Raw genomic sequence first — 26170 nt, forward strand, 5'->3', positions numbered from 1 at the left:
CAAAACCCCCTCCCGCCCCCCGGCCCCCGCCGCCGGCTCCGTCACTTCCGCCCCGCCGTGGCCGAAACTGACACAAAGTAGCGGGCCGAGGCCCCGGGGGAGCGGGGCCGCAGCTGGGGGGGCGGGAGCCCGTGGGGAGCCGAGCCGAGCGCCCCCCGCCCCAGCCCCCGGCATGGGCAGTACGGGGCCGCCGGGGCGGGCGCCGAGCGCTGAGCGCTGAGGTGAGGCGAGGCGAGGCGAAGCGGGGGCGCCCGGGAGCGCGGGGCCAGGAGGGCAGAGGGAGATGCGGCCGCAGCCGCGGGGCTGGAGGGGCCGGGGAGCGGGTGTAGACTGGGGAGCACCGGGGGCCAAGATTTGGGAGCTGCGGCCAGACGGGGCGGGGATGGCGGCCGACTGGAGACGAGGGGCTGTCGGGTTCCCGGGGACGGGGCAGAGCGGGGGTCTGCGTACAGGATGGGAGGATGGGGTGCCGAAGGGGCGCGTGGAGAGCAGGAGAGCGGCGCGAGTGCCAAGGAGAAGCTCGTGCAGCCTTGGCCAGGGGAGACCCGCCCAGAGAGTTGTTGGGCGAGAGGAGTAACCGGGACCCGAGGGTTTGGTGCCTGGAGAAGGGAGTTTGGGCTGGTAGGCTTTGTCTCAGTAAGGTGGAGGTCTATGCCTGAGGAAAACTGAGGGTGTCAGGAAGGGGCAGTAGCTCTGGGAGATGATAGCTGTGCCGGGAGCCCTGAGTTCTGTCCTTGGTGAGGGAAGGTGGCCCGAGCTCGTGTTGGTGGCCAGTGAGCTGGAGGTCTCGAGTTCCATTTCCTCCTGTTTCCCTGACCTGCCATCCTCCTCTGAAAGAAGTGGCCAGCCTTTGGGGCTCTTGCTTGTAAGGGAGCAGGGACCGGACCTATAGGAGGAGCTGTTTTCCTCCATGGAGCATTGCCTGCTTGCCGGGGCTGGCTATTTTTATCCCAAATGTGGCCGAGAGGGGGCTGGGGCTGGGTGACGGGGCAGGGCAACGTGGCTGATGGGCCTGACCTGCTCAGAAAACCCAGGCTGTGTGAGACTAAGAAGGAAAAGTGAGAGGGGATCCCAGTTCCCAGGTCTCTCCTCTCTTCCCCTTGGAATGATGGCCCCCCCAGAGGGGATGAGGTCTGGGGCCAAGCCTGCTTCCAGTCTCCCCAGGGTCTCAGAGGTAGAACAACTTTCCTGGTCCATATCCAGACTCCTGACTCCTGATGGCGTGTGCAGCTCCTACATTAACTCTTTCATGGGACTCAAACTCAGATGTTTAGGCTGATAGTGTTTCTTGATCCCTTCCTCCCCAAGGGCGGGGCTGCCTGTAGAACTTGTGATGCCCACTCTTGCATCCTTTAACCTCTCCCTGTGCTCCCCACCCTCCCGTGACTCATACTCAGACTGGGTGGAGACCCTGGCTGGGGGCCCTGGAGGAGGGCTTGGCATCTCTAAAATATGGATGAGGTTTTTCTTCCTGAGCCAGGCACCCTGGACTGCCATAGTTGGAGAAGGTCAGGGATGAAAAGGACTTCTGGCTTTCAGGATTGCCTGACTTGGTGTAAGGGCGGGATCTGAGCTAGCGAAGGGAGAACTGGTGTGGGTGACTGGGTTGTGGCCAGAATCTGTAATTATAGAGCTTAGCCAGACAGGCAATTAGTATCTCTTGGGGCTGACAGGTTGGTGGGGTGTGCCTGGTAGGCTAAAGGCAGAGGGAACCAAAGAGGATGAGGAGGTGAAAGGCCTTCCACCCAGACAAGGAAAGAGGAGGTGACTGACTGGCAGTTTCCTTTGGGCCAGGCTGGGGAGTAAGGATGAGGCTCTGCCTTGTAAGGCCAGGCCTTGAACCTTTTAGGAGAAAGGACATGGGAAGGCGGAAGCAGGCAGAGGCTTGTCTCACTGGTGCTCCCTAAGCCTGCACCCTGTGCCATACTGACTGGACTAGGCTTGGGGTGGGAGGGAGGGAGGGGCAAACTCCCCACCAGGGTTGGGAAGACCCCTCTGCCAGCCCAGAAGGGTGGCTGACCCAGGCTGAGGGGAAGCTGTTTAGGGACTGTCTGTGCAGAAAGTGAGGGCCATGCCTCTAATGTGAGCTCCCCTGGAGGAGGTGATAATGGAAGCCCTAGTAATGGGGGGTGGGGATGGCAGGGAACTTATAAGCCTTTCGAGAAGGGTGGAGCCTGCCCACCCTGTTTCCTGATGCCCTGCCAGGTGTTTCCTGGCTCATGTTCCCTCCACCCCACCCTTTGGGGAAACTGCTTTCTAGTAAGCACAAGCACTACTCATTGCCGCCAGAACACATGAGAGCCTCCATTGTCCCTGGGATGGATACCTTGAGAGCTGTTCCCCTTTTTTCAATATCTGGCCTCTTCTCCTTTCCCTACAGGCATGGGCTTCTGTAAAGTCTCAGCCCCCCATGTCACCCAAGGCAGGGGCATGATGGGAGGTGGTGGGGAAGTCCCCTCTTTCCCAGGAACCCATCATGGCAGTAAGAGGAGAGACTGGGAGAAGGAGGCTGGGGGAGGGGCAGGGTCAGAGCTGGAGAAGAGGGTCTTCAAAAGAGGTCTCATGAGGGGAGGGAAGGGTTATCCTCAGCTTCCTGACCTCATTCGTCTGTCACTTCTTGCAGGGTCTCCCATGGGATTGCTGGGATCTTGCTGGGTGAGATGGCAGTGTGTGCAAAAAAGCGCCCCCCAGGTAAGACAGGCAAGGAGGGGAGATCCCGGGAACCATCAAGAGTGGGTGTTGTTATGGCTCAGGGAGCAAAAGGAAAAGGGACAACTGGTATGGGTCTGAGGGAGGGTAGCTTACAGCAGCCCCTACCCAGCTTGGGGGCAGCCTAGGAAACCGAATTCTTCCGCTTGATCCCAAAGCTGGGTTATCTGCCAGGACAGCGCAGAGCACCAGCCCCACGCCCCGAAACACCTGCAGTCTTATCTTCGGGCACCTGCAGCTCCTGCTTTCTGGCCTAGGGAGCTGTGTTCTCATCTCTGCTTGGTCCTCTCACCCCTTCCCTGCTCCCCTCGTTTTTCCATCTACCGGTTCTCCTGGTTTTTCCGCGGGCGGGGGTGTGTGTGTGTGAAAGCGGTTGCCCCCGACAACGCCGGCAGTCCGCTCACCCGCATTGGCCCGGCCCGGGGGTGGGAGGGGAGGCGGGGCTCGCGCGCGAGCTTTCGCCTACGCGGCGCGCTGGCAGGCTGCGGCTCCTGCAGTCGGGGAGCGGGCGGGGGCGGAACCCTGGGCGTGCTCGGCGTGTCCGGGGCCACTCAGCGCACGCTGGCATCCGCCGGGGGGCATGGGGGGCGGCGGCGGCGGCGCAGCTGAGCTCGCGGTGTCCCCGAGCGCCGGCGGCCGGGAGGATGGCCTGGGCTGCGGGTGGGGCGCGCGCCCGACGGCTGGGGCTCCCCTCTGAGCGGCTGCGGCTCCTGCACCTCCCCGGGGAGCCGCCCCGTCGATGCCACTAAGGCCAAGGACATATAGACGGTCTGCCCTCCCCCACTCAAACCGGGATCATGACGGTCCCCAAGGAGATGCCCGAGAAGTGGGCCCGGGCCCAGGCGCCTCCCTCTTGGAGCCGAAAGAAGCCCTCTTGGGGGACAGGTAACGGGAGGCAGCGCCTGGCAGCTCTCCCGCACCCATTATTTCCCCCCTCCAATCCCTACATTCACTTGTCCCCAGCCTCCCCCTACCTGCCTTGATCCTCTTTCCAGACCCAGAGATCCTGGCTCCGAAGGATCCAGTCCCTACCTTCTTCGTTTGCATGGTCTTTGGTGATTGCGCAGGGGACTTGGCCCAAGAGAGCCCCTCTAGGGAAGTTTATGGGAGTGAAGTGGCTTGGTAGGCAGGGGGCACTGTGGCCTGGGTTTTGTTACTGCAGTGTGCTCTGCAGGGGTCCTGGGGTGTGTAGAAAGGGTTCTGGAATGCTGTCTTTGGCTCCCGGACAGGCTTAAGGCATTAGGTTTGCTGCCTAACCAAGTTACCCCTTTTTGCAGCATGAGGTCATGGTGACCCCCGGGGAGACGGGCTGGGGAATCTATTATAGGACAGCTCCTTGTTCTGGGACATGAATTTGATGCCTGCAGTCCCAGACCTGCAGAGGTTTCAGATAGGTTTAGCTAGATAGGTGTCACTAACTGAGTGACAGATGAGCCCTTTAAAGCTAAATGTGTGCAGATGGTACAAGGAAGGTCCAGTTAGAGAGCAACTGTTTCAATTACATTTCATTCCTCCCTCCTCTATCTCTATCTCAGTCTGCATGACCCATATCCCTGAAACGCACCCCCCACACCTTTTTCTACTTGAAGATGAGCTTTGAAATAAGGTGATGTCATTTCGGGCCAGTCAGAAGCAGTTGCTGGTGACATGTGACAACCAGAGGCTCCTGTAGGGGGGACTGCACATGGGGCTGGGATGCTCCCGCAGAGCAGCTCCAGGGCACAGGGAGCCTCCTTCTTGCCACCTACCCCACTCTCTAAATAAGGGAGAGAGCAGTACCGCGACTAGATCTGCAGTGGTCCCCAGGGGGAAGGAAGCTTTGCGTTTTCAGCGCTACTCCTTGATTATGACAATGTATGCATTAGTAATAGCAGCAAAAGGGGCTGGGGAATCCCAGGACTGTCAGTGGCTCAGATTCCTCTGGAGTGGGGGTGGGGGAGACAAACTGGGTGCTTCCAGTGGAAGACCTTGAAGTTTGGTGGTGAGGAAAAGAGAACATGTCCTGTCCTGTGAATGTAACCTGGAGAGCCGTGTGGTCAGGCTGCTGGTGAGAGGTGGACTGGAGGGAAGAATTTGATGACCCCCTCAGTTGTGGAGCTAACTCCTTAAAATGATATTCTGTGGAAAAAAACAGGGAACCCCCCAGCAAAGTGTTGGTCCAGACCTCAGTTTGCTCCTCCTGACTGCAGCATCATTTTGTTGCAGAAGAAGAAAGGAGGGCGCGGGCTAATGACCGAGAATACAATGAGAAATTCCAGTATGCGGTAAGCGACTCTAGACCACCTGTTCCCTCTCTCTGTTTGGAGAGGGGAATGGGGCAAGGACAACCTACCGTTGGGACTGAGGGCTGCCTGGGAAGAGTGCTTGGGGGAGGGGAAGCAACCTCCTCAGCCACTCTCCATCTGCTATCGTGCTGAATTTTTCATGCCTTCACCTGTCAGTGAAGCAGAATACATTGACCCCCTTGAGACTCCCTTCTCTCCTCCTCTTTCCCCCTCCCACACCTGTGTTTGCTAGCTTTTGGGGTAGAGGTCTGGGGAAGTATAAAGATGGGGGAGGCAGCCTCAGTCTGGTTCTGGGTTGGGACTGGAGACTGCTCATTATCTTCTCTCCTACTGCCATAGAGTAACTGCATCAAGACCTCCAAGTACAATATTCTCACCTTCCTGCCTGTCAACCTCTTTGAGCAGTTCCAGGAAGTTGCCAACACTTACTTCCTGTTCCTCCTCATTCTGCAGGTAGGTGACCCATAGTAGATTTTTTGCAGCTCCCCAAACTGAATAAAGCCAAGGAAGAGGAAAGGGAATGAAGGCATCAGATGGGGCCTCAGAGGCATACTTCTCTTTCTTTTTTTCAGTTGATCCCCCAGATCTCTTCCCTGTCCTGGTTCACCACCATTGTGCCTTTGGTTCTTGTCCTCACCATCACAGCTGTTAAAGATGCCACTGATGACTATGTGAGTGGTTTTCATTCTTCTATTTTGTCCCAGTCACCCACCCCTACTCCCAGCCCCACCCCCATCTCATGGCCACCTTCATCCAGCACAATTTCTTGGTGACCTTGACATCCCTTACCCGGTCCAGCTAGATCCATGATGTCTTTTTGCTGAGCGTGGGGAGAGGGAATCAGGGAGTGAACTGGTTTGTGATGGGGTGTGTATGAGGCGTTAACCAGCATGCTCTGAGTTCTACTGATCAACGAATTCCTTCGAGGCGGGGGAAGGTGTCTTACCTTTCAGTTTTCTTCTTTTCAGTTCCGCCACAAGAGCGATAACCAGGTGAATAACCGCCAGTCTCAGGTGCTGATCAATGGAATGTGAGTGCCTGTTGGAGACAAGAGCTCTGGGGACGAAGGGGGTCCCTTAGGAACCTCTTTAGCTCCTGACAGCCTCTTCACTGTCTTCTCGTTGCCTCAGCCTCCAGCAGGAGCAGTGGATGAATGTCTGTGTTGGTGATATTATCAAGCTAGAAAATAACCAGTTTGTGGCGGTAAGGGACAGGGTACCCCTCTAGGCCTGTAGGTTCTTCCTCTTCTTTGTGAGAAAAGGATGAATCTTTCCTGATTTACTGTTGCCTCTTAAACACCCGTGGCAGGAATCTTTCTCACACCAGGGGCTTCTGTGTCATGCTGATATGCCTGGAACTAGCCATTTATGCACCTGGAACTAAGCAAACCAAGAATGCTTAGTGGAAGGAGCCACCATTACAGCCCACTGGGGGTGGAGGTTTGCATATTTGGACTTCTCATTAGTTTTTCTCTCTAGGCGGATCTCCTCCTCCTTTCCAGCAGTGAGCCCCATGGGCTGTGTTACATAGAGACAGCAGAACTTGATGGGTAAGTGGCATGCTCAGTGTCAGCCCTCTCCTTCTGTCTCTTTGGAGGTAAAAAGATTGTCTTTGAATGAGGTTCTCAGGCCTGGGCTCTGTCTGAATTTGGAAAAATTAGGGGTAAGAAAGGCTTTGGATGGGATGTGTGAAGTGTTATTCAACCAGTATTTGCTGGGCTGAGCAGTTATGCACCATGCTTAGGTGTCACCAGGTAGAATTTAGAGGATGGGGAGAGGTGGGCATGGTGACTCACTCCTGTAAATCCCAGCACTTTGGGAGGCCAGTGTGGGAGGATTGCTTGAGGCCAGGAGTTTGAGACCAGCCTGGGCAAGATGGTGAGACTTCATCTCTATAAAACAAACAAACAAAAAATTTAAAAAGTTTAAAACTTAGCTGGGTATGGTGGTTTTAATGCCTATAATCCCAGCCACTTGGGAGGCTGAGGCGGGAGGATTGTTTGAGCCCAGGAGTTCGAGGCTTTAGTGAGCTATGATTGTGCGACTGCACTCCAGCCTGAGCAGCAGAGCGAGACCCCATCTGTGAAAAAAAACATTTAGAGGATGAGGAGGGAGCGGGGACTCAGAGATACTGTCCTTCCAGCGAGACCAACATGAAAGTACGTCAGGCGATTCCAGTCACCTCAGAATTGGGAGACATCAGTAAGCTTGCCAAGTTTGACGGTGAGTAATTTTGGAGGAGCAGCCTGAAGGTAGAGGAGTGGGGTTGGGTTTTGTTTGGGGGCGTTAAATTATACATTTTCCTTTGGGCTTTTTGTTGTTATTATGCAACTCCCTGGACTGTTTTGGGGAGGGGAGTGTTTGTAATGTCATGTGGCTCCCTCTTGGTTTTGAGTTTATAATTATTTCAAGGGGACTTTGTGGCTGATAGCTCCCCACTTGCTATGCATGTTGAGAGAAATTCAGCTTATTCTTTTAGCTTATTAGCTCAGAATAATAATATGTGTTCCTTATAAGACAAACCATACAGAGTGTATAAGAAAAAGTGAATAGAGGTCGGTACCATGGCTCACGCCTGTAATCCCAGCACTTTGGGAGGCCGAGGTGGGCGGATTGCCTGAGGCCAGGAGTTCGAGACCAGTCTGGTCAACATGGTGAAACCCTGTCTCTATTAAAAATACAAAAATTATTAGCTGGGCGTGGTGCTGCATGCCTGTAATCCCAGCTATTCAGGAAGCTGAGGCAGGTGAATCCCTTGAACCTGGGAGGCGGAGGTTGCAGGGAGGCGGAGGTTGCAGTGAGCTAAGATCGTGCCACTGCACTCCAGCCTGGGTGACAAGAGCGAAACTCTGTCTCAAAAAGAAAAAAAAAATACAAAAATTAGCCGGGCGTCGTGGTGTGCATCTGTAGTCCCAGCTACTTGAGAGGCTGAGGCATGAGAGTTGCTTGAACCTGGGAGGTGGAGGTTGCAGTGAGCCGAGATCGGGCCACTGCACTCCAGCGTGGGCAACACAGTGAGACACTGTCTCAAAAAAAAAAAAGAAGAAGAAAATAGCTCTTCCTTCCTCTTCTACCCTGCTGAAGTAGCCACATTAATTGACAGTCAGTGTGTGCTCATCCACACTTTTCATACATGTTTGTACAAACAAATATTAGGTCATGCTGCAGCTTTTTTTTTTTTTTTTTTTTAAATACTCCTGCCCAGGTTGGAGTGTAGTGGTGCGATCTCGGCTCACTGCATCCTCTACCTCCCAGGTTCAAGCGATCCTCGTGCCTCAGCCTCCCGATTAGCTAGAATTACAGGCTCCCACCACCACACCCGGCTAATTTTTGTATTTTTAGTAGAGACAGGGTTTCACCATGTTGGCCAGGCTGGTCTCAAACTCCTGACCTCAGCTGATCCACCCGCCTTAGCCTCCCAAAGTGCTGGGATTACAGGCATGAGCTGCCGCGCCCGGCCTGCTTCATTATTTTCCTGAAGAGTTGCATCAGCTCACACTCCTCCCAGCAGCATATGGATGGGCCCTTGCCCTTGCATCCTCTTCGCTCAGCTCATTTTCTCTTTGTTTTATTGTCTTGTGGTTAGGCTGTAGACTGGACCTTAAGCAGTGGAATTCTTGTCTCCTGTTCAGGTGAAGTGATCTGTGAACCTCCCAACAACAAACTGGACAAATTCAGCGGAACCCTCTACTGGAAGGAAAATAAGTTCCCTCTGAGCAACCAGAACATGCTGCTGCGGGGCTGTGTGCTGCGAAACACCGAGTGGTGCTTCGGGCTGGTCATCTTTGCAGGTGAGCCTCCTAGCATCCAAAGAAAGAAGGGTAAGAGTGACTCAGCCAGCCCTCACTCAGGAGTATGGGATGAGGTGGGAGAATACCTAAGGTAAAAAACCTCCAGCTGTGTATACAGGCTTCTTATCTAGCCAGTATCTCTATTCCACCCTGGTGTCCTGCAGTCTGGGGATCAGGGCAGAAGCCCAGAGGCAGATGTGTTATTTGGCTTTCCCAGCCCTTCCCATTCTTTTCCAGGTCCCGACACTAAGCTGATGCAAAACAGCGGCAGAACAAAGTTCAAAAGAACGAGTATCGATCGCCTAATGAATACCCTGGTGCTCTGGGTGAGGCGCCCCACATCTGGCTCCCTGCCCCTGCCCTCTCTTCTCCTTGGGTGCTCCTTTTCCTTTCCTCTTTCTTCTTTGGTCAGTAGACTTCAGGTTTGGCTTTAAAGCTGCTAGCAGGTCAGCTACACAAAGGCAGTGTTTATTTTAGGCTCCTTTTAGTTGGAAGATGTTATTTAAAAAAACTTCAGGAACGTGCATGAATCAACAACTTAAAGCTAAAACAAATCATCCCTTCTCTGATTCCAGTTATGATGATGACTTTGTGAAGCATGTGACCTTCTGTTTGCTTTTGCCAGGGACAAGGAGGCCTTCATGGGGATGGAGAGGGAATTAAAAGAAAAATTTCCATTTGGAAGAGGTTGGCAGGGTCTTTTCCCCCCAACTTCTAAGAACGAAGGATCCCAAAGGAAAAGTTTCTGTTTAAGTTTTTGGCAGTTCCTGAATCCTTCTCTTGTTTAGCTAGAAATCTGAACTCCTTGTTGGGCTCTCCTCCCCTTCCTGTGCCCCGACTGTCTGCTGCCTGCCCGCCACATGCCAGCTTGTGAAGGCTGGGGCTAGCCTCTGGTGAGCTTGTTTCCGCCCTGGCTTTAAAGAGTGTGCGGAAACCCAGCCTGGTGGGCGAGGTTGTCTATCACATAAGGGCTCCAGTCGCCCCCTGGTGGCCATTGGGCACCAATCTCCTATTTTGTTTCAAAGCCTAAACAGCGGAGGCAGCTTTGGAAATAGATGTAGGAAATTGGACAGTGGCCTGGTTTTTTACCAGTCTCTCCAGAGACTCCAAAATTTATAAGATTTTTGACTAATCAGGAAATCTAGACCAGGAGTGGTGGCTCACACCTGTAATCCCAGCACTTTGGGAGACCAAGGTGGGAGGATCATTTGAGCCTAGGAGTTCGAAAACAGCCTGGACACCATAGTGAGACCCTGTCTTTACAAAAAACTGAAAAATTAGCCAGGTTTGGTGGCATGCACCTGTGGTCCCAGTTACTCTGGAGGCTGAGGCGGGGGGATTGCTTGGCCTGGGAGATTGAGGCTGCGTTGAGCTAGGATCATGCCACTGCACTCCAGCCTGGGCAACAAAGCAAGACCCTGTTTCAAAAAAGAAATCTACGTTTATGAAGATAAGTTTGTTTCCCAAGTTTAAAAAAAAAAAAGGCAATCTTAGCCAGGTGCAGTGGCTCACGCCTGTAATCCCAGCACTTTGGGAGACCGAGGTGGGTGGATCACGAGGTCAAGAGATCAAGACCATCCTGACCAACATGGTGAAACCCCATCTCTACTAAAAATACAAAAAAATAGCTGGGCGTGGTGGCGGGCACCTGTAGTCCCAGCTACTTGGGAGGTTGAGGCAGGAAAATGGCGTGAACCCGGGAGGTGGAGCTTGCAGCAGTGAGCCGAGGTCGCGCCACTGCACTCCAGCCTGGGCGACAGAGCAAGGCTCCATCTCAAAAAAAAAAAAAAAAGGCCATCTATGTGAGATAGTGAACATTACCGTGGCTTGGCATTTTTGTTGGCTTGTACCTAGCCCAGGTGAATAGATTATTTACAGTAAGTTTTCTGGTATGTTAAAAGTAGCTCATCCCCACTCTTACCAACTTTGAGGACTCTGGAAGGTTTCAAGGTGCCAGATTGAGAGCTAATCAACTATTTCAGTTTCTTCATCATATAGATGAAATAATGGTCAGACAGAAGGCCACATGATAATTGGTGACAGACTAGAACCTGTCACCAGTTCTGAGCTTTTTCCACTAGAGCAGTGGTGTCCAATATTTTGGCATCCCTGGGCCACATTGGAAGAAGAATTGTCTTGGGCCACACATAAAATACACTAACATTAACAATAGCTGATAAGCTTAGAAAAAAAAAATTGCAAAAAAAAATCTCATAAATTTTTTTTTTTTTTTTTTGAGACGGAGTCTCACTCTGTCACTAGGCTGGAGTGTAGTGCAATGGCATTATCTCGGCTCACTGCAACCTCTGCCTCTCGGGTTCACGTGATTCTCCTGCCTCAGCCTCCCTAGTAGCTGGGATTACAGGTGCCCGCCACCACACCCGGCTAATTTTTTTGTATTTTTAGTAGAGATGAGAGATGGGGTTTCACCATGTTGGCCAGACTGGTCTCGAACTCCTGACCTCATGATCTGCCCGCCTTGGCCTCCCAAAGTGCTGGGATTATAGGTGTGAGTCACTGCACCTGGCCTTTTTTTTTTTTTTTTTTGAGACAGGTTCTTGCTCTGTTGCCCAGGCTGGGATGCAGTGGCATGATCTTGGCTCACTGCAATGTCTGCCTCCCGGGTTCAAGCAATTCTCATGCCTTGGACTCCTGAGTAGCTGAGACTACAGGCAAGTGCCACCAGGACTGGCTAATTTTTTTAATGTTTTTAGTAGAGACGGGGTTTCACCGTGTTGGCCAGGCTGGTCTCAAACTCCTGACCTCAGGTGATCCATCCGCCTCAACCTCCCAAAATGCTGGGATTACAGGCTTGAGCCACTGCGCCCAGCCCATAATAGTTTTTTTTTTTTTTATAATTATTTTTCATTTAACATTCAGCTGTTACCAAAATCTCATAGTGTTTTAAGAAAGTTTATGAATCTGTGTTGGGCCACATGTGGCCCAGAGACCATGGGTTGGACAAGCTTGCACTAGAGCATCTGAGCTTTTGAGGGCTCAAGGGATGAATACATCACAGATGCACTTGGTTTTGAGGGCTTCCTACATGTCAGCCTCGCCTGTGCTTCTCATTCCTCCCCAGATTTTTGGATTCCTGGTTTGCATGGGGGTGATCCTGGCCATTGGCAATGCCATCTGGGAGCACGAGGTGGGGATGCGTTTCCAGGTCTACCTGCCGTGGGATGAGGCAGTGGACAGTGCCTTCTTCTCTGGCTTCCTCTCCTTCTGGTCCTACATCATCATCCTCAACACCGTTGTGCCCATTTCACTCTATGTCAGGTATGTGCCTTCTCTGACCTGGGGTCTCTCCAGGGAGTCAGGCGGTCCCATAGAACTTTTCTTTTCTATGAAGATGAAGTCCTTGAGAAGTAACGAGAAGTCCTCTTCTTCCTGTACTGTAAACATTTGATGTTATCTGTTTATCTTTGTGGGCAGAGCAAACTTTTTACCACAGTTTCCTGGTACTTGGGACTGTATTAGAGAAAAAAAAATATTGATTTATTCAGCACCTATTTATTACATGCCTACTGTGTACAAAGAAGTGTGCTAGGTGCCATCACAAATAAAAGATGAATTAGGAATGGATCTCCTTCCTTCTAGGAGCTTACGTCTAGTAAAGGAAGGAAAATCTAAACACATTATAAAACAAAATAGGAACCAGTGCTGTAGAATTCGACCTAGAGTCTTCTATGTGAAGCTTGGGGATACAGAGATGTATAAGGTGGCCTCTGCCTTTAGCAGCAGCAGATGGATAGGTCGAGGAGGGGAGATCTGGACAGTGTCAGACTGAGATACCATGTGGGAGGCACAGGGTGCCCGGGGACTGGGAGAGTGTCGCTCCCTAAGCAGGTAGGCAGAGAGGGAGAGATGGCATTTGCTCTGGGCTTTGAGTGGTGACTGGGCTGGATGAAGGTGGAGCCACAATGGAGAGGAGGCTGAGAGGGCTGGAAGCAAAGGTGTGGAGATGGGAGCCTGGGAATGGCCTATGGAAATAGTTGGCCAGGGTCTTGGGCCAAGAGCAAGAGCTGGAAACATAGCTTGCTCCTGATTGTGGAGGCTTTTGAATATTTGCCTGTGGACTTTGTATTTACTAACCATTAAAAGTTATTGAAAAGACTGGGCACGGTGGCTCACACCTGTAATCCCAGCACTTTGGGAAGCCAAGGTGGGCGGATAACGAGGTCAGGAATTCGAGACCAGCCTGGCCAACATGTTGAAACCCCGTCTCTACTAAAAATACAAAAATTAGCCAGGTGTGGTGGTGGTTGCCTGTAATCCCAGCTACTTGGGAGGCTAAGGTAGGAGAATCGCTTGAAACCGGAAGGTGGAGGTAGCAGTGAGCCAAGATCACGCCACTGCACTCTAGCCTGGGCAACGAGCGAAACTGTGTCTCAAAAAACAACGAAACAAACAAACAAACAAAAAAGTTTTTGAAGAAAGTCAAAAGAATGTATTCTGTATTCTAAAAATGCATTCTAAGTGTTACAGCTCTTTTAGAATTTGTCTAGCAGGTTTTCCAGTTTTCACTGGAACCCCTCCCCCACAAAAAGAAAAAAATGCATTCTAAAAAAAAACTAAAGAATGCTTTAGGAAGTATTGACTGGCAGTAGTGTACAGCATGAATAGGATCAAGGCAACATGTAGGATGTTTGAGGTAAAGAGAATGTTAGCAGGGACAGGCCAGTGAGAATGAAGGGGAGGATCGGAGGAAGACGAGGCAGGAGGAATGGCCAGGGGAAAGGAACTTTCTTGCTTAGTGCCTTGCACTTGAGATAAGGGAACCTGTGACATTTTTAAGGAAATGTTTTATGGAGGTGCTGAAAACTTGTCCTGTCTCCCATCTTTTGTTCATACAGATTCCCCAAATAGCCCTCAACTCTCTCCCAGCCCCCAATCTTACTGCTGGTGATAATAAATAGAAGATACAGCATTTCTGTGCTGAGAGAATATAGTTTAGGCTTTTCCAGGGTGTGAAGAGGAGAGTTGGGAGGTTCTGGGTTTAGTCCTGCCTCCTCACTGGCCATGTGACCTCAGGAAAATCCACGGTCACTCAGGGCCTCACTTGATCTTAGTTTTCCCACGTGAAACAGGAACAGGAGTACTTGTCTCACCTTTTAATAGGATGTCTTGATATAAGATATTGGCTTAGAAGATACATTTTAAACTTAAGTGACTGTACAGTTACTGGGTGGTAGCCTGCTCATTGTGACTGTTGCCACTCCCTTCTGCATTACTATTTAAATGCCTTTGTGCTTACAACCTAATTTTGTTTTCCCACCTATGGGCTTTGCTATCTGTGTTTTGTATCTCAGTTCACTTGAAGCCCTTGGGAGCAGCTAAAGCAGTTTTCTTTCTGAGTCTCATCAGGTCACAGTGTGTATGTTTCGGGAGGCTAAGAGGGGGTTGAAGAGCTGTGTGAGGAAAAGGCCCTTTGGAATGTGAAGACATTCCCATTTGCCTGGTAATGGGATCCTGATAGGTGCCTTAGTCAGGTGGGAAGCAGGGCTCTCGATAGGGCCCCATTGCTCGGCTGCACTGGACCTAAACATGGCCCTTTCTGGAAATGCTAACAGTGCATATGATTAGCAAAGAAGAGGATACGAACAGACCTGGAGATGTTAAAGGCACTATAGGGGCCAGGCATGGTGGCTGTCGCCTGTAATCCCAGCACTTTGGGCGGTGGAGGCGGGAGGATCTCTTGAGTTCAGGAATTCAAGACCAGTGTGGGCAACACAGCGAGATCCCATCTCTACAAAAAATGAAAATTAGCCAGGTGTGGTGGTGTGCACCTGTAGTCCCAGCTACTAGGGAGGCTGAGGTGGGAGGATTGCTTGAGCCCAGGAGTTTGAGGCTACAGTGAGCTATGATTACACTACTGCACTCCAGCTTGGGTGACAGAGACCCTAGCTCAAAAAACAAACAAGCAAACAACAACCACCACAATGCGCTGTGCCATTGTGAAGTGGTGGTGTTCTGCAGATGCCCAGGGCCCTCTCCCTCTGGAGTCAGCACCTCAGCCCTGCCCGGTGTTCAGAATCAGGAATGTAGTGCCCCAAGCCCAGGGTGGAAGGAGCGCACCCAGCCTGTGGTGGGACAGTGACGAGTGGGCTTCAAGCCTTCTCCATTTCCCCTCCCCGGTGCCACCCCTCTTTGAGGTGGCGTCTGTGTTGCTGTGGCATGCACAGCACCCTCATTATTTCTCTCTCTCTTTTCTCTCCCCTCCCTCTGGCACTTTCTCTTGTTTTTCTCTGCATGGTTTCTGTATTATTAGTCCTGAGGTAAGAACTGGCCGAGTGCCTTGTCTACAGCCCCTTTTCCTCCTTTGCTGTCTGTCCTGCCCACCCAGGCCCTTTGCACCTTCTTGTCTGGAGAGCATCAGGAGGGTCGGGTCGGGGCGTTCCTCTGCTGGCTGTGTGCAGCCGGCTCCACCTTCAGGCTCTCCTTGCCCTTTCCCACCCAGGTTTCTGTGCCCAGGTGTCTTCTCCGTTCTTGTCTCTCCCCAGGCGGAGGGCCTGCAGCGAAGGCCCATGTGGGTGGGGCACCTCCTCTTCTTCCCGACCCAAGCCTCACCTCTTGTCCCCTGTGCAGTGTGGAGGTCATCCGTCTGGGCCACAGCTACTTCATCAACTGGGATAAGAAGATGTTCTGCATGAAGAAGCGGACGCCTGCAGAAGCCCGCACCACCACCCTAAACGAGGAGCTGGGCCAGGTGGAGTACATCTTCTCCGACAAGACGGGCACCCTCACCCAGAACATCATGGTTTTCAACAAGTGCTCCATCAATGGCCACAGCTATGGTATGGTGGCACCACTGGGGACTGGGGGCTTGCACCTCGCCTGGAAGGACAGTGGAACTGGGGCCCCACAGTTTCCTTAACATTGGTTTTTTCTTCCTTCCTAGTTGGGTCTGAGGGGCCTAGAAGAAAGGGTCCATCCTGGCCAGGCACGGTGGCTCATGCCTATAGTCATAGCACTTTGGGAGGCTGAGGTGGGAGGATTGCTCGAGCCCAGGAATGCGAGACCAGCCTGGGCAACATAGTGAGACCACATCCCTACAAAAAATTTAAAAATTAGCCAGGTATGGTGGCATGCACCTGTGGTCTCAGCTGGCCAGTGACTCAGGAGGCTGAGATGGGAGGATCACTTGAGCCTGGGAGGTCAAGGCTGCAGTGAGCCATGATCTTCCACTGCACTCCAGCCTGGGCGACAGAATGAGGCCCTGTCTCTCGAGAAAAATCCACACACAAAGAAGAGGTCCATTCTGTGTCCCATGTCAAGAAGCAGATCCTGGCTGGGCGCAGTGGATCACCTGAGGTCAAGTGTTCGAGACCAGCTTGGCCAACATGGTGAAACTCCGTCTCTACTAAAAATACAAAAAATAGCTGGGCGTGGTGGCAGGTGCCTGTTTTCCCAGCTACTCGGGGGGCTGAGGCAGGAGAATTGCTTGAATCCAGGAGGTGGAGGTTACAGTGAGCCGAGTTTGCGCCATTGTACTCCAGCCTGGGCGACAAGAGTGAAAGTCTATCAAAAAAAAAAAAAAAATTAGATTCTGAGAGTCCTCCCCTTGTCCTCTCCTGATGCCCTGACCCTGGTCTCAGCTCCAGGAATTAGGGGAGCTCCTTGGCTGTTTGAAGTGAGACACTGGCCTCTGGGCATCCTGGCCAGGCGGAACCCTGCTAGACTCTCCCCTGTTGCTGCTCAGGGTCCTTGTGAGTCTGTGGAATGTGGCTGTGGTTGGACTTCCCAGTGTGGCCCGTGGCTGTGCTGCTGGGATGGCCTGGGGCAGCATGTGGGGCTGACTTTTATGCAGAGTGTGGACCCCTCTTGTGACTGCTTTCTGTACTGACTGATGCCTTTCGGTCAGTGTCTGAGCCTTGTCTGCTGCTCAGGTCTAATGGGTGCAAGGAGGCCTGGGAGGTGTGGAATTGGAGCTGCCCTGAGGGGGGTGCCGCCTAGGGTAGAGACAGGGATGGTGAGCAGTGGGTGCCGGGGCTCTTTCATGGCCAGGCCTTGGGGTTCTGGAATCTAGGGTGCCTGATGCCTCCTATCCCGCGAGTCAGCAATGTGACTGAGTGACTCACACTGTGACAGCTGCTCAGCGATTAGGGTTGAGGGGCTCAGTGCCTACGGGGATTCTGCATTGGAGATGTTTTTCCATGCTCTGGAGCTCTCTGGCTCTGACATTGCTTCTTTTTCTGCCCTGGCTGTATGTAGGTGATGTGTTTGACGTCCTGGGACACAAAGCTGAATTGGGAGAGGTAAGATTCAGTCTCCCTAATTCTATGTGCCAGTGAAACAGGGTGCCTGGCCAGTAACAGTGTAGTCAGGAGTGATGTGTTGTCTGGATAGGAAATGGAAGCTGCTTGGAGAAATGGGTGTTTTAAGGCAGAACTGGTGATGACGGAAGTGGAAATTTTGAGGTCCACCGTGGACAGGAGCCTACTGAGAGTTGGGAGGGCAGGGATGAACCCTTCCCCGGGATGCAGCCTGGCACTCTAGCCTTTCCTAAGAGCCTTCTTATGTGTTTCAGAGGCCTGAACCTGTTGACTTCTCCTTCAATCCTCTGGCTGACAAGAAGTTCTTATTTTGGGACCCCAGCCTGCTGGAGGCTGTCAAGATCGGGGACCCCCACACGCATGAGTTCTTCCGCCTCCTTTCCCTGTGTCATACTGTCATGTCAGAAGAAAAGAACGAAGGTGGGCCGAGGAGCCGGCTCGCACTCTCCTGACCTGACTCTGCCCTTGGGCTCTGCTCTGCTCTGCAATGCGGCTGGGCTGGGGCTTCCTGGGCGGGGCACGTGGCTGAGGGAAGCCACTTATATCACGTGTATTCTTCCTCCCCACCCAGGAGAGCTGTACTACAAAGCTCAGTCCCCAGATGAGGGGGCCCTGGTCACCGCAGCCAGGAACTTTGGTTTTGTTTTCCGCTCTCGCACCCCCAAAACAATCACCGTCCATGAGATGGGCACAGCCATCACCTACCAGCTGCTGGCCATCCTGGACTTCAACAACATCCGCAAGCGGATGTCGGTCATAGGTGAGGCCAGGCCTGGGGTGCTGGGGCGTTTGGGGACAGCATTCAGGCCTGGAATGGGTGAAGTGTGCCGGGTGACTCTTGATGTGTTTATGTTGGGGGTCTTTGCCTGTCTGAATTTTTCTGGCACTTTCTTCACCTGCCCCATTCATAGTGCGGAATCCAGAGGGGAAGATCCGACTCTACTGCAAAGGGGCTGACACTATCCTACTGGACAGACTGCACCACTCCACTCAAGAGCTGCTCAACACCACCATGGACCACCTTAATGTGGGTGTGAGGAGAGGAGGGGCCAGCCTGGGGGGTTCTACTCTTAGTGTGGGGGAGGCGACTTAAGTTTGTTTTATTGTGTAAATTTAAGGTCTACAACGTGATGTTTTGATGTGTATATATAGTGAAGTGATTACTACAGTCAGACAACTTAACACATCAGCCAGCTCCCATAGTTACCTCTTTTTATGTATGTGGTGACAGTCCCTAACTGTGGAATGTGGCACACACCCAGTCTACAGTGCAGGATTATTCATTGTCGCCCTCACGCTGTCCATTAGCTCTCCAGACTTACCCAGGTGTGCCTTTCCACTCTGCCTCCAGGAGTACGCAGGGGAAGGGCTGAGGACCCTGGTGCTGGCCTACAAGGATCTGGATGAAGAGTACTACGAGGAGTGGGCTGAGCGACGCCTCCAGGCCAGCCTGGCCCAGGACAGCCGGGAGGACAGGCTGGCTAGCATCTATGAGGAGGTTGAGAACAACATGATGGTACGGGCTGCGGGACGGGCCAAGGATGGGCACGGAGGGCTCATGCCTGCAATTCTTGTGCCAGGAATCCTTGTGGTATTTTCAGCTGCTGGGTGCAACGGCCATTGAGGACAAACTTCAGCAAGGGGTTCCAGAGACCATTGCCCTCCTGACACTGGCCAACATCAAGATTTGGGTGCTAACCGGAGACAAGCAAGGTGAGAGCCCAGCAGGGCAGAGCCAGTTGCAACTGACAGTAGCCCTGTTGGACCCTTGCATGGAGCCGAGGACATCAGGCAGGCAAGTGTGCTGACCTTGTTGGGTGCCTGTCCGTAGCTCCTGCGTTCTCTCTTGGTAGAGACGGCTGTGAACATCGGCTATTCCTGCAAGATGCTGACGGATGACATGACTGAGGTTTTCATAGTCACTGGCCATACTGTCCTGGAGGTGCGGGAGGAGCTCAGGTAAACAAGAAGCCCAGGGGAGGCGGTGCTGTGCGTTGTGCCCAGGGCTCAGGTGGGGGTTTCTGGACCATTTAGACTTGAATCCCTGCTCCCCACTGCCGTTCTGGAAGACCACAACCGTATCATTTCCACCTCGACAGGAAAGCCCGGGAGAAGATGATGGACTCATCCCGCTCCGTAGGCAACGGCTTCACCTATCAGGACAAGCTTTCTTCTTCCAAGCTAACTTCTGTCCTGGAGGCCGTTGCTGGGGAGTACGCCCTGGTCATAAATGGTCACAGCCTGGTAGGCATCGCTATCCTTAGCTTGGGCAGTATCTTTCCAGTGAGCACTTCTGTCCAGGGCTTTTATATCTTGTTCTAATTTCCCCTGATTTCAGAGAAGACTGGTCTCAAAGGGGACTGGGAGGAGCTGAGACTCCCAGGTGTCTCCTGGAAAGACTGGCTCTCTCAGGTTTCTCTGTGCTCCAGGCCCACGCACTGGAGGCAGACATGGAGCTGGAGTTTCTGGAGACAGCGTGTGCCTGCAAAGCTGTCATCTGCTGCCGGGTGACCCCCTTGCAGAAGGCACAGGTGGTAGAACTGGTCAAGAAGTACAAGAAGGCTGTGACGCTTGCCATTGGAGACGGAGCCAATGATGTCAGCATGATCAAAAGTGAGTGTGGGCTGTGCAGGTGTGTAGGCTGGGCTTGAGGCTGGGGAGGGGCCCACTGAGGTCTCTGGACTGCAGAAGAATGACGGGAAGGGGGTTGTAACTTGGTAGGCTCTAAAGTGTGTGGCCGGTGGCCATCTTCACCCTCTTGTCATCTCTTGTCTCTGCAGCGGCTCACATTGGTGTGGGGATCAGTGGGCAGGAAGGGATCCAGGCTGTCTTGGCCTCCGATTACTCCTTCTCCCAGTTCAAGTTCCTGCAGCGCCTCCTGCTGGTGCATGGGCGCTGGTCCTACCTGCGAATGTGCAAGTTTCTTTGCTATTTCTTCTACAAAAACTTTGCTTTCACCATGGTCCACTTCTGGTTTGGCTTCTTCTGTGGCTTCTCAGCCCAGGTAATAAATGTTCCCAGTCCACTGTTGTGCAAATCTGTAAACCTGAGGGCAGAGGTTCTGTCTTGTTTATCACTCAGTCCCCCAGGGCCTAGCTATTTTCTGGTACATACTCTTAAAAAATGCTTATTAAAGGAGGAGAGAAGGAGCCTCAGAAAATTTCTTAGGGTTCTCTGTATGTGACATCAGCTGTCTTCCTGTGCCTGATGTGTAGCAAAGAAAGGTTGCATGCTCCCTTGCTCCCTGTTCTCTTCCAGACCGTCTATGACCAGTATTTCATCACCCTGTATAACATCGTGTACACCTCCCTGCCAGTCCTGGCTATGGGGGTCTTTGATCAGGTATGGGGGAGTTTGATGATCAGATGGGATGCGGGGAAGGTCACTGCTTGAAGGAGTCACATAGACGTGGTGTGTGACACTTGTGCCCATTTCCTGTGGCCACTGGGAAGGCAGTTCTTTCAGCCGGGGAAGGTGTGGCTGGTTCTCCCTCCTGGCTGCAGCTGATCTAGAACTCTCTTGGGTTGCTGAACTAAGTTAGTCTGGGGGTAGCTGGCTTGAGGTTGGTTCTAGCTGCCAAAGACTTTGGAAAGGAGGAGGCAGGGACAGAGTCAGAGTCTGCCCTTGGTCATCCAGGGTCAAAACGGCAACCTCTGAGGCCCCCTATGCTACATGGTCCTCCCACACAGGATGTCCCCGAGCAGCGGAGCATGGAGTACCCTAAGCTGTATGAGCCGGGCCAGCTGAACCTTCTCTTCAACAAGCGGGAGTTCTTCATCTGCATCGCCCAGGGCATCTACACCTCCGTGCTCATGTTCTTCATTCCCTATGGGGTGTTTGCTGATGCCACCCGGGATGATGGCACTCAGCTGGCTGACTACCAGTCCTTTGCAGTCACTGTGGCCACATCCTTGGTCATTGTGGTTAGCGTGCAGGTATGAGGCCATCCAGGAACTCCCCTCTTCTCTGGAAGGAGTGAGCCTTCTGTCCCTGGGGCTGCCCTGGGCACCACAGTTCTGTTTCTGGGGGAAGGGGCTTTTAGGGCGTGCGCCTGCCTGACTATGCCTACTTTCTGCAGATTGGGCTCGACACAGGCTACTGGACGGCCATCAACCACTTCTTCATCTGGGGAAGCCTTGCTGTTTACTTTGCCATCCTCTTTGCCATGCACAGCAATGGGCTCTTCGACATGTTTCCCAACCAGTTCCGGTTTGTGGGTAAGTCCCCGTGGCCTCCTTGAATCGGTGAGGAATCACAGCTGTTCTGGGACTAACAGGACCATCAGCTAATCTGCACATTCAACATTTCTTATGTGCCAAGTATTCTGTTTATTTTATTTATTTATTTATTTATTTTCGAGAAGGAGTCTTGCCCAGGCTGGAGTGCAGTGGTGCGATCTCGGCTCACTGCAGCCTTCGACTCACTGCAGCCTCTGCCTCCCGGGTTCAAGCGATTCTCATGCCTCAGCCTCCTGAGTAGCTGGGATTACAGGCACACGCCACCAAGCCTGGCTAATTTTTGTATTTTTAGTAGAGATAGGGTTTCACCATGTTGGCCAGGCTGGTCTTGAACTCCTGACCTCAGGTGATCCACTCACCTCGGCCTCCCAAAGTGCTGGGATTACAGGTGTGAGCCACCGTGCCCAGCTAGCACAGAGAAATCTGAATAAAGGGAAAGGGAGCCTGCCATGTGGCTCTCTGGGAACTGTCAATCCAGGAAGAGGAAACAGCAATATAAAGGCCTTCAGCCCTGGCCTGGGAGGAGGTCTTCTGCACGTGGAGCTGGGGAGGAGTGGAGGAAATGAGTTGGAGGGTGGGGGTGTGGAATGAGTCAGGATTATTTAAGCCCTTATGGGTCAGAGGAAGAACTTTGAGTTTTTGAATTTTAATCTAAATGTGAGAGGAAGCCATTGGAGGGCTTTGAGCAGAGAAATACCAGAAGCTTACTTATGTTTTTAAAGGGCCGCTCTTACAGTTTCGTGGATAATAAAGTGTAGGGGGCAAGGGTGGAAATGGGAGACTAGGAGGTGAGAGCAGTCACCAGGTGAGCCTAATGAGGGCTCGGAATAGAGTAAAAGGCCGTGAGATTCCAGAGATGTTTTGAAAATGGAAACAACAGGCCGGGCGCGGTGGCTCAAGCCTATAATCCCAGTACTTTGGGAGGCCGAGGTAGGCGGATTACCTGAGGTTGGGAGTTCAAGACCAGCCTGACCCACATGGAGAAACCCCATCTCTACTAAAAATACAAAATTAGCCGGACTTGGTGGCACATGCCTGTAATCCCAGCTACTTGGGAAGGCTGAGGCAGGAGAATCGCTTGAACCTGGGAGGTGGAGGTTGTGGTGAGCCGAGATCGCGCCATTGCACTCCAGCCTGGGCAAGAGCAAAACTCTGTCTCAAAAAAAAAAAAAAAAAATGGAACCAATAGATTGAATGTGGGGTCCAAAGAAGAGAGAGAAATGAATCAAGATAAAAAACAACAAAAAAAAAATTAAAAAAAAATTTTTACAGAAATGAATCAAGATCCATTGCAGGGTTTTTAGTTGGAGCAACTGAATGGGTTGTGGCATTTCCTGAGTTGAGAAAGACCAGGATCAGATTTGGGGAAAGGAAACAATAGTTGAGTTTGGGCCACGGGAAATTCAAGATGCCTGGTATGTCAAGTCTGGCAGTTGAAGCAGCAGGTCTGGAGCTTTGGGGGAGTTTGGAGCTAAATTTGGAGATTTACATTTGGAGGGTGAGCCTGGAGAAGCGGGAAGCCAGAGGTGACTTAGGCTTTGAGAGTAGGGAAGTGGAGCTGCCAGAAATGGGAACGGGGAATGTCTGCCTCGTGACTCCCAAGGCCACTGACTCCTCTTCATCCCCAGGGAATGCCCAGAACACCTTGGCCCAGCCCACGGTGTGGCTGACCATTGTGCTCACCACAGTCGTCTGCATCATGCCCGTGGTTGCCTTCCGATTCCTCAGGCTCAACCTGAAGCCGGATCTCTCCGACACGGTGAGAAGCCAGGCTACCTGCTGTGGGAGGCAGAGATGGGGTGGCTGGAAAGGCCTCATGTGAACACTGGGGGGCTCTGTGGGGCCATGTGGCTGTTCAGTGTGTTGGTGCTTATCTGTTCTTCCTGGGGACAGACACCCTGTGCAGCTGGCCACAGAGGCCTCTGCGTCAGCCTGGTCCCAGGTGCTGTGGGTCGGAGGCCTCTGTGTCAGCCTGGTCCCGGGTGCTGTGGGTCCCTTCTCCTTGGCGATATCTGACACCTCCACGCTGACAGAGGGCTCTTCCCTGTGCCCCTCTGCAGGTCCGCTACACACAGCTCGTGAGGAAGAAGCAGAAGGCCCAGCACCGCTGCATGCGGCGGGTTGGCCGCACTGGCTCCCGGCGCTCCGGCTATGCCTTCTCCCATCAGGAGGGCTTCGGGGAGCTCATCATGTCTGGCAAGAACATGCGGCTGAGCTCTCTCGCGCTCTCCAGCTTCACCACCCGCTCCAGCTCCAGCTGGATTGAGAGCCTGCGCAGGAAGAAGAGTGACAGTGCCAGTAGCCCCAGTGGCGGTGCCGACAAGCCCCTCAAGGGCTGAAGGCCGAGGATGGATGCCCTGTGCCAGTGACCAGAGCACCCAGGGCTGGCCAGTCACTGAGGGAACAGCGTCTCGGAACTGCTGGTCCTCATTCCTTGCTTCCCGTCCCCCCGGTAGACTCTGTCCTGCTGGTCCCACCACACATGGCTGGGACATCTGTTCCCAGCTGTAGGCCCTTCCACCAGCTGGGGAGCTAGAGGGAGCAGGCCCAAGGGCAGAGCAGAGGCTGAGGCACGGGGAGCCAGCCCCACTCGGGGACCAGAAGTGGAACCAAAAACAAGAAAAAACTGTGAGAGATTGTGTCTGCCCCTGCCCTGCCTGGGACCCACAGGGAGACTATAATCTCCTTATTTTTTTACTCCTACTCCCCAGAGGGGCCCTAGTGCCTCTGTTCCTGAATTACATAAGAATGTACCATGCCGGGAAGCCAGAGACCTGCAGGGGCCTCGGCCCCTCACATCGTGTATGTCTCTCCTTGATTTGTGTTGTGTCCAGTTTGGTTTTGTCTTTTTTTATTTGGCAAGTGGAGGAGGCTTTTATGTGACTTTTATGTTGTGGTTGGTGTCTTAACTCTCCTGGGAAAAGGAGGCTGGCACACACTGGGATGCCGCAGCCTGGCCGGCTGTGGGGTGGTTTGGGAGGATCCATGTCGGCTCTGCCTGCAGTGACCAGTGCTCTGTGGGGCAGAGGAGCTGACCAGGGAGGGAGGTACCCATGAGCAGAGGGTAGTGGGAGAGTGTAAAGGAGGGTTTGGTCCTGTCTGCTTCCTCACCTTGAGAGTAAAGTGCTGCCCTCTGCCCCCAACACACACACATATCAATTCCTGGATTCCTTAGTCCTGCTGGCCTTGGGCTGGAGCCTAGGAAAGTGGCCCCCAAATCCTTAGTGAGCTAAAGCTGGGTCTGAAATTTGGTCAGTGGGGAGGGGTAGTTTTCTTTTCTTTTTTCTTTTTCTTTTTTTCTTTTTTTTTTTGAGATGGAGTCTCACTCTTGTCACCTAGGCAAGAGTGCAATGGCACAATCTCAGCTCACTGCAACCTCCACCTCCTGGGTTCAAGCGATTCTCCTGCCTCAGCCTCCTGAGTAGCTGGGATTACAGGCACACACCACCACGCTTGGTTAATTTTTGTATTTTTAGTAGAGATGTTTCACCATGTTGGCCAGGCTAGTCTTGAATTCCTGACCTCCTGACCTGCCCACCTCAACCTCCCAAAGTGCTGAGATTACAGGCGTGAGCCACCACACCCAGCTCAGGGAGGCGTAGTTTTCTTTAATTTTAAATTTAAACCCAAGTTTATTGGCAGACTCCCTTTTGACCTCCCTTTGCCTCCCCATCTGGTGCTTTCTTGCATCTACACCCCAGGGCCCTGTGGTGGGGCTGCAGGGGGAAGCTGTGCACCTGAGATGAGGCTGGAACGGGAATTGGCCTCTCTGCTCCCTTCTTCAGTAAGCAAGGAGCCCCGCCCCTCAGGCCCAGCCTCTGGCAAGAGGTGGTGGAATCCTTGTGCCGGGTAGTAGAGGAGGATAAGGGCAAAACCAGGCCCAGGCCAGTGCCTGGCTTGGTCTGGATGGGACACTGTCAGAGTTTGGCCACAGCCTGTCCTTTACTTCATCCACACCTATGAAGCTATTCCCTAAATAAGGCATTTCCCAAGTTAGTCGCTACCTAATCAGCCTTGAGAAGAATCCTTTCCTCTTCTTTGATAGTGGGTCGGGGGATTCTTCAGGAATGGTTTGGAGCTGGGAGTGGGTAGGGGGATTTTAAATGTTCCATATGGGAGCCCCAAAGGAACTGGATGGGCTGCAGTGAGGTGGGGGCGGGTGGGCAGGGAATGGGAGAGGGGAAGTCTTGGCAGGGAAATCCCTTTTGGCCACACAGTTTACAAACCCAGTATCATGTCTGTCTGTGTGTCTCTCAAGGTGAGAGTCTGATTTTTATACCAAAGAGGAAATGATTTTTTTTCATATTTTGTTTGTCTATATTATATAAATATATATATACAGTTATATATATATATATTATTTTTTGGTTCTCTCTCGTTTTTTAGGGAGGGAAGAAAGTACCAAGTTGCATTGAGCTGTAATTAAGGAACATTATAATTTATGACACATTTCTATACTTGCAAAAATTATATCATTTTATGGATATAAGAGAAAAATGCCTTTTTATAAAATTTCAATTTCTGAGAAGTGTGTAATTTGTCTCTTTTCTGATGTTTAACCAAGACTGGTGGTGAAAGTAAAGACAGAAACTGTCTCTTAAATGTAATTGAGTGGGTAGATCTGGGATATCTTGGACAAATTGGAATCTGACTGGTGTGGGATAGCACCTCATCCATTTGCAGACCTCCCGGGATCTGAGTTTCAGCTGAAGATGAAGACGGGGCAGTGGGTGGTACTGAGCGGCATATCGTATGGACTTTGGCTGGGTGCCTAGGACCTTGAGCTGTTTACCTTTCTCCAAACGCAGGCCAACCTGTCATCCCTAACACACGCCAGATGGATGTGTGTGTAGGGAAAGTACCTGGTAAATA

At 52.4% G+C, this 26170-nt stretch overlaps 1 protein-coding gene and 1 pseudogene across 7 annotated transcripts, besides 7 other annotated features; both read left to right on the forward strand.

The window, feature by feature from the left end:
• Positions 35-264: a silencer, noted in NCBI's record as "silent region_1353". NCBI's record gives its function as "represses an Ori minimal core promoter by ATAC-STARR-seq in GM12878 lymphoblastoid cells {active_cell/tissue: GM12878}" and the evidence as "EXISTENCE:reporter gene assay evidence [ECO:0000049][PMID:35858748]".
• Positions 44-25823, forward strand: ATP8B2 (ATPase phospholipid transporting 8B2). Of its 7 annotated transcripts, none has more exons than NM_001370597.1 (28): positions 44-221; positions 2624-2691; positions 4915-4973; positions 5334-5447; positions 5567-5665; positions 5963-6024; positions 6125-6197; positions 6473-6543; positions 7137-7216; positions 8626-8784; positions 9022-9110; positions 11867-12063; positions 15373-15581; positions 16999-17042; positions 17315-17480; positions 17632-17820; positions 17972-18087; positions 18412-18576; positions 18662-18773; positions 18914-19019; positions 19160-19304; positions 19490-19673; positions 19841-20064; positions 20319-20402; positions 20750-20995; positions 21139-21277; positions 22927-23057; positions 23359-25823. In NM_001370597.1, the coding sequence occupies exons 2-28, from the start codon at positions 2661-2663 to the stop codon at positions 23635-23637; spliced, it is 3573 nt and encodes a 1190-aa protein (NP_001357526.1). In that variant the 5' UTR covers positions 44-221; positions 2624-2660; the 3' UTR covers positions 23638-25823. The 7 variants fall into 7 exon arrangements, 6 of the variants coding, with proteins under 6 accessions (NP_001357526.1, NP_001357525.1, NP_001005855.1 ...); NM_001370596.1 differs by having other exon boundaries at positions 18412-18558; positions 18641-18773; NM_001372009.1 differs by lacking the exon at positions 44-221 and adding an exon at positions 2266-2380.
• Positions 315-464: a silencer, noted in NCBI's record as "silent region_1354". NCBI's record gives its function as "represses an Ori minimal core promoter by ATAC-STARR-seq in GM12878 lymphoblastoid cells {active_cell/tissue: GM12878}" and the evidence as "EXISTENCE:reporter gene assay evidence [ECO:0000049][PMID:35858748]".
• Positions 1205-1384: an enhancer, noted in NCBI's record as "active region_1777". NCBI's record gives its function as "activates an Ori minimal core promoter by ATAC-STARR-seq in GM12878 lymphoblastoid cells {active_cell/tissue: GM12878}" and the evidence as "EXISTENCE:reporter gene assay evidence [ECO:0000049][PMID:35858748]".
• Positions 3024-3483: a silencer, noted in NCBI's record as "silent region_1355". NCBI's record gives its function as "represses an Ori minimal core promoter by ATAC-STARR-seq in GM12878 lymphoblastoid cells {active_cell/tissue: GM12878}" and the evidence as "EXISTENCE:reporter gene assay evidence [ECO:0000049][PMID:35858748]".
• Positions 5140-6339: an enhancer, noted in NCBI's record as "BRD4-independent group 4 enhancer chr1:154303097-154304296 (GRCh37/hg19 assembly coordinates)". NCBI's record gives its function as "activates an origin of replication core promoter dependent on BRD2, P300/CBP, MED14 and CDK7 cofactors, and independent of BRD4, by STARR-seq in HCT116 cells {active_cell/tissue: HCT116}" and the evidence as "EXISTENCE:reporter gene assay evidence [ECO:0000049][PMID:35650434]".
• RNU7-57P (RNA, U7 small nuclear 57 pseudogene) lies at positions 13263-13321 on the forward strand (annotated as a pseudogene).
• Positions 22849-23833: an enhancer, noted in NCBI's record as "H3K4me1 hESC enhancer chr1:154320806-154321790 (GRCh37/hg19 assembly coordinates)". NCBI's record gives its function as "activates a minimal SCP1, AML or CMV promoter by ChIP-STARR-seq in naive H9 embryonic stem cells {active_cell/tissue: H9 hESC(naive)}" and the evidence as "EXISTENCE:reporter gene assay evidence [ECO:0000049][PMID:30033119]".
• Positions 23834-24817: an enhancer, noted in NCBI's record as "H3K4me1 hESC enhancer chr1:154321791-154322774 (GRCh37/hg19 assembly coordinates)". NCBI's record gives its function as "activates a minimal SCP1, AML or CMV promoter by ChIP-STARR-seq in naive H9 embryonic stem cells {active_cell/tissue: H9 hESC(naive)}" and the evidence as "EXISTENCE:reporter gene assay evidence [ECO:0000049][PMID:30033119]".
• Positions 25824-26170: the final 347 nt, after the last annotated feature.

The sequence above is a fragment of the Homo sapiens genome, chromosome 1 (genome assembly GCF_000001405.40).
Source record: "Homo sapiens chromosome 1, GRCh38.p14 Primary Assembly".
Classification (NCBI taxonomy): domain Eukaryota; kingdom Metazoa; phylum Chordata; class Mammalia; order Primates; family Hominidae; genus Homo; species Homo sapiens.

Coding starts and splice junctions, on each gene's coding strand:
- ATP8B2 (XM_047425999.1), top strand. CDS start 3,507: ATGACGGTCCCCAAGGAGATGCCCGAGAAGTGGGCCCGGGCCCAGGCG. Junction 9,111..11,866: donor TGAATACCCTGGTGCTCTGG/GTGAGGCGCCCC, acceptor ATTCCTCCCCAG/ATTTTTGGATTCCTGGTTTG. Junction 12,064..15,372: donor CCCATTTCACTCTATGTCAG/GTATGTGCCTTC, acceptor TCCCCTGTGCAG/TGTGGAGGTCATCCGTCTGG.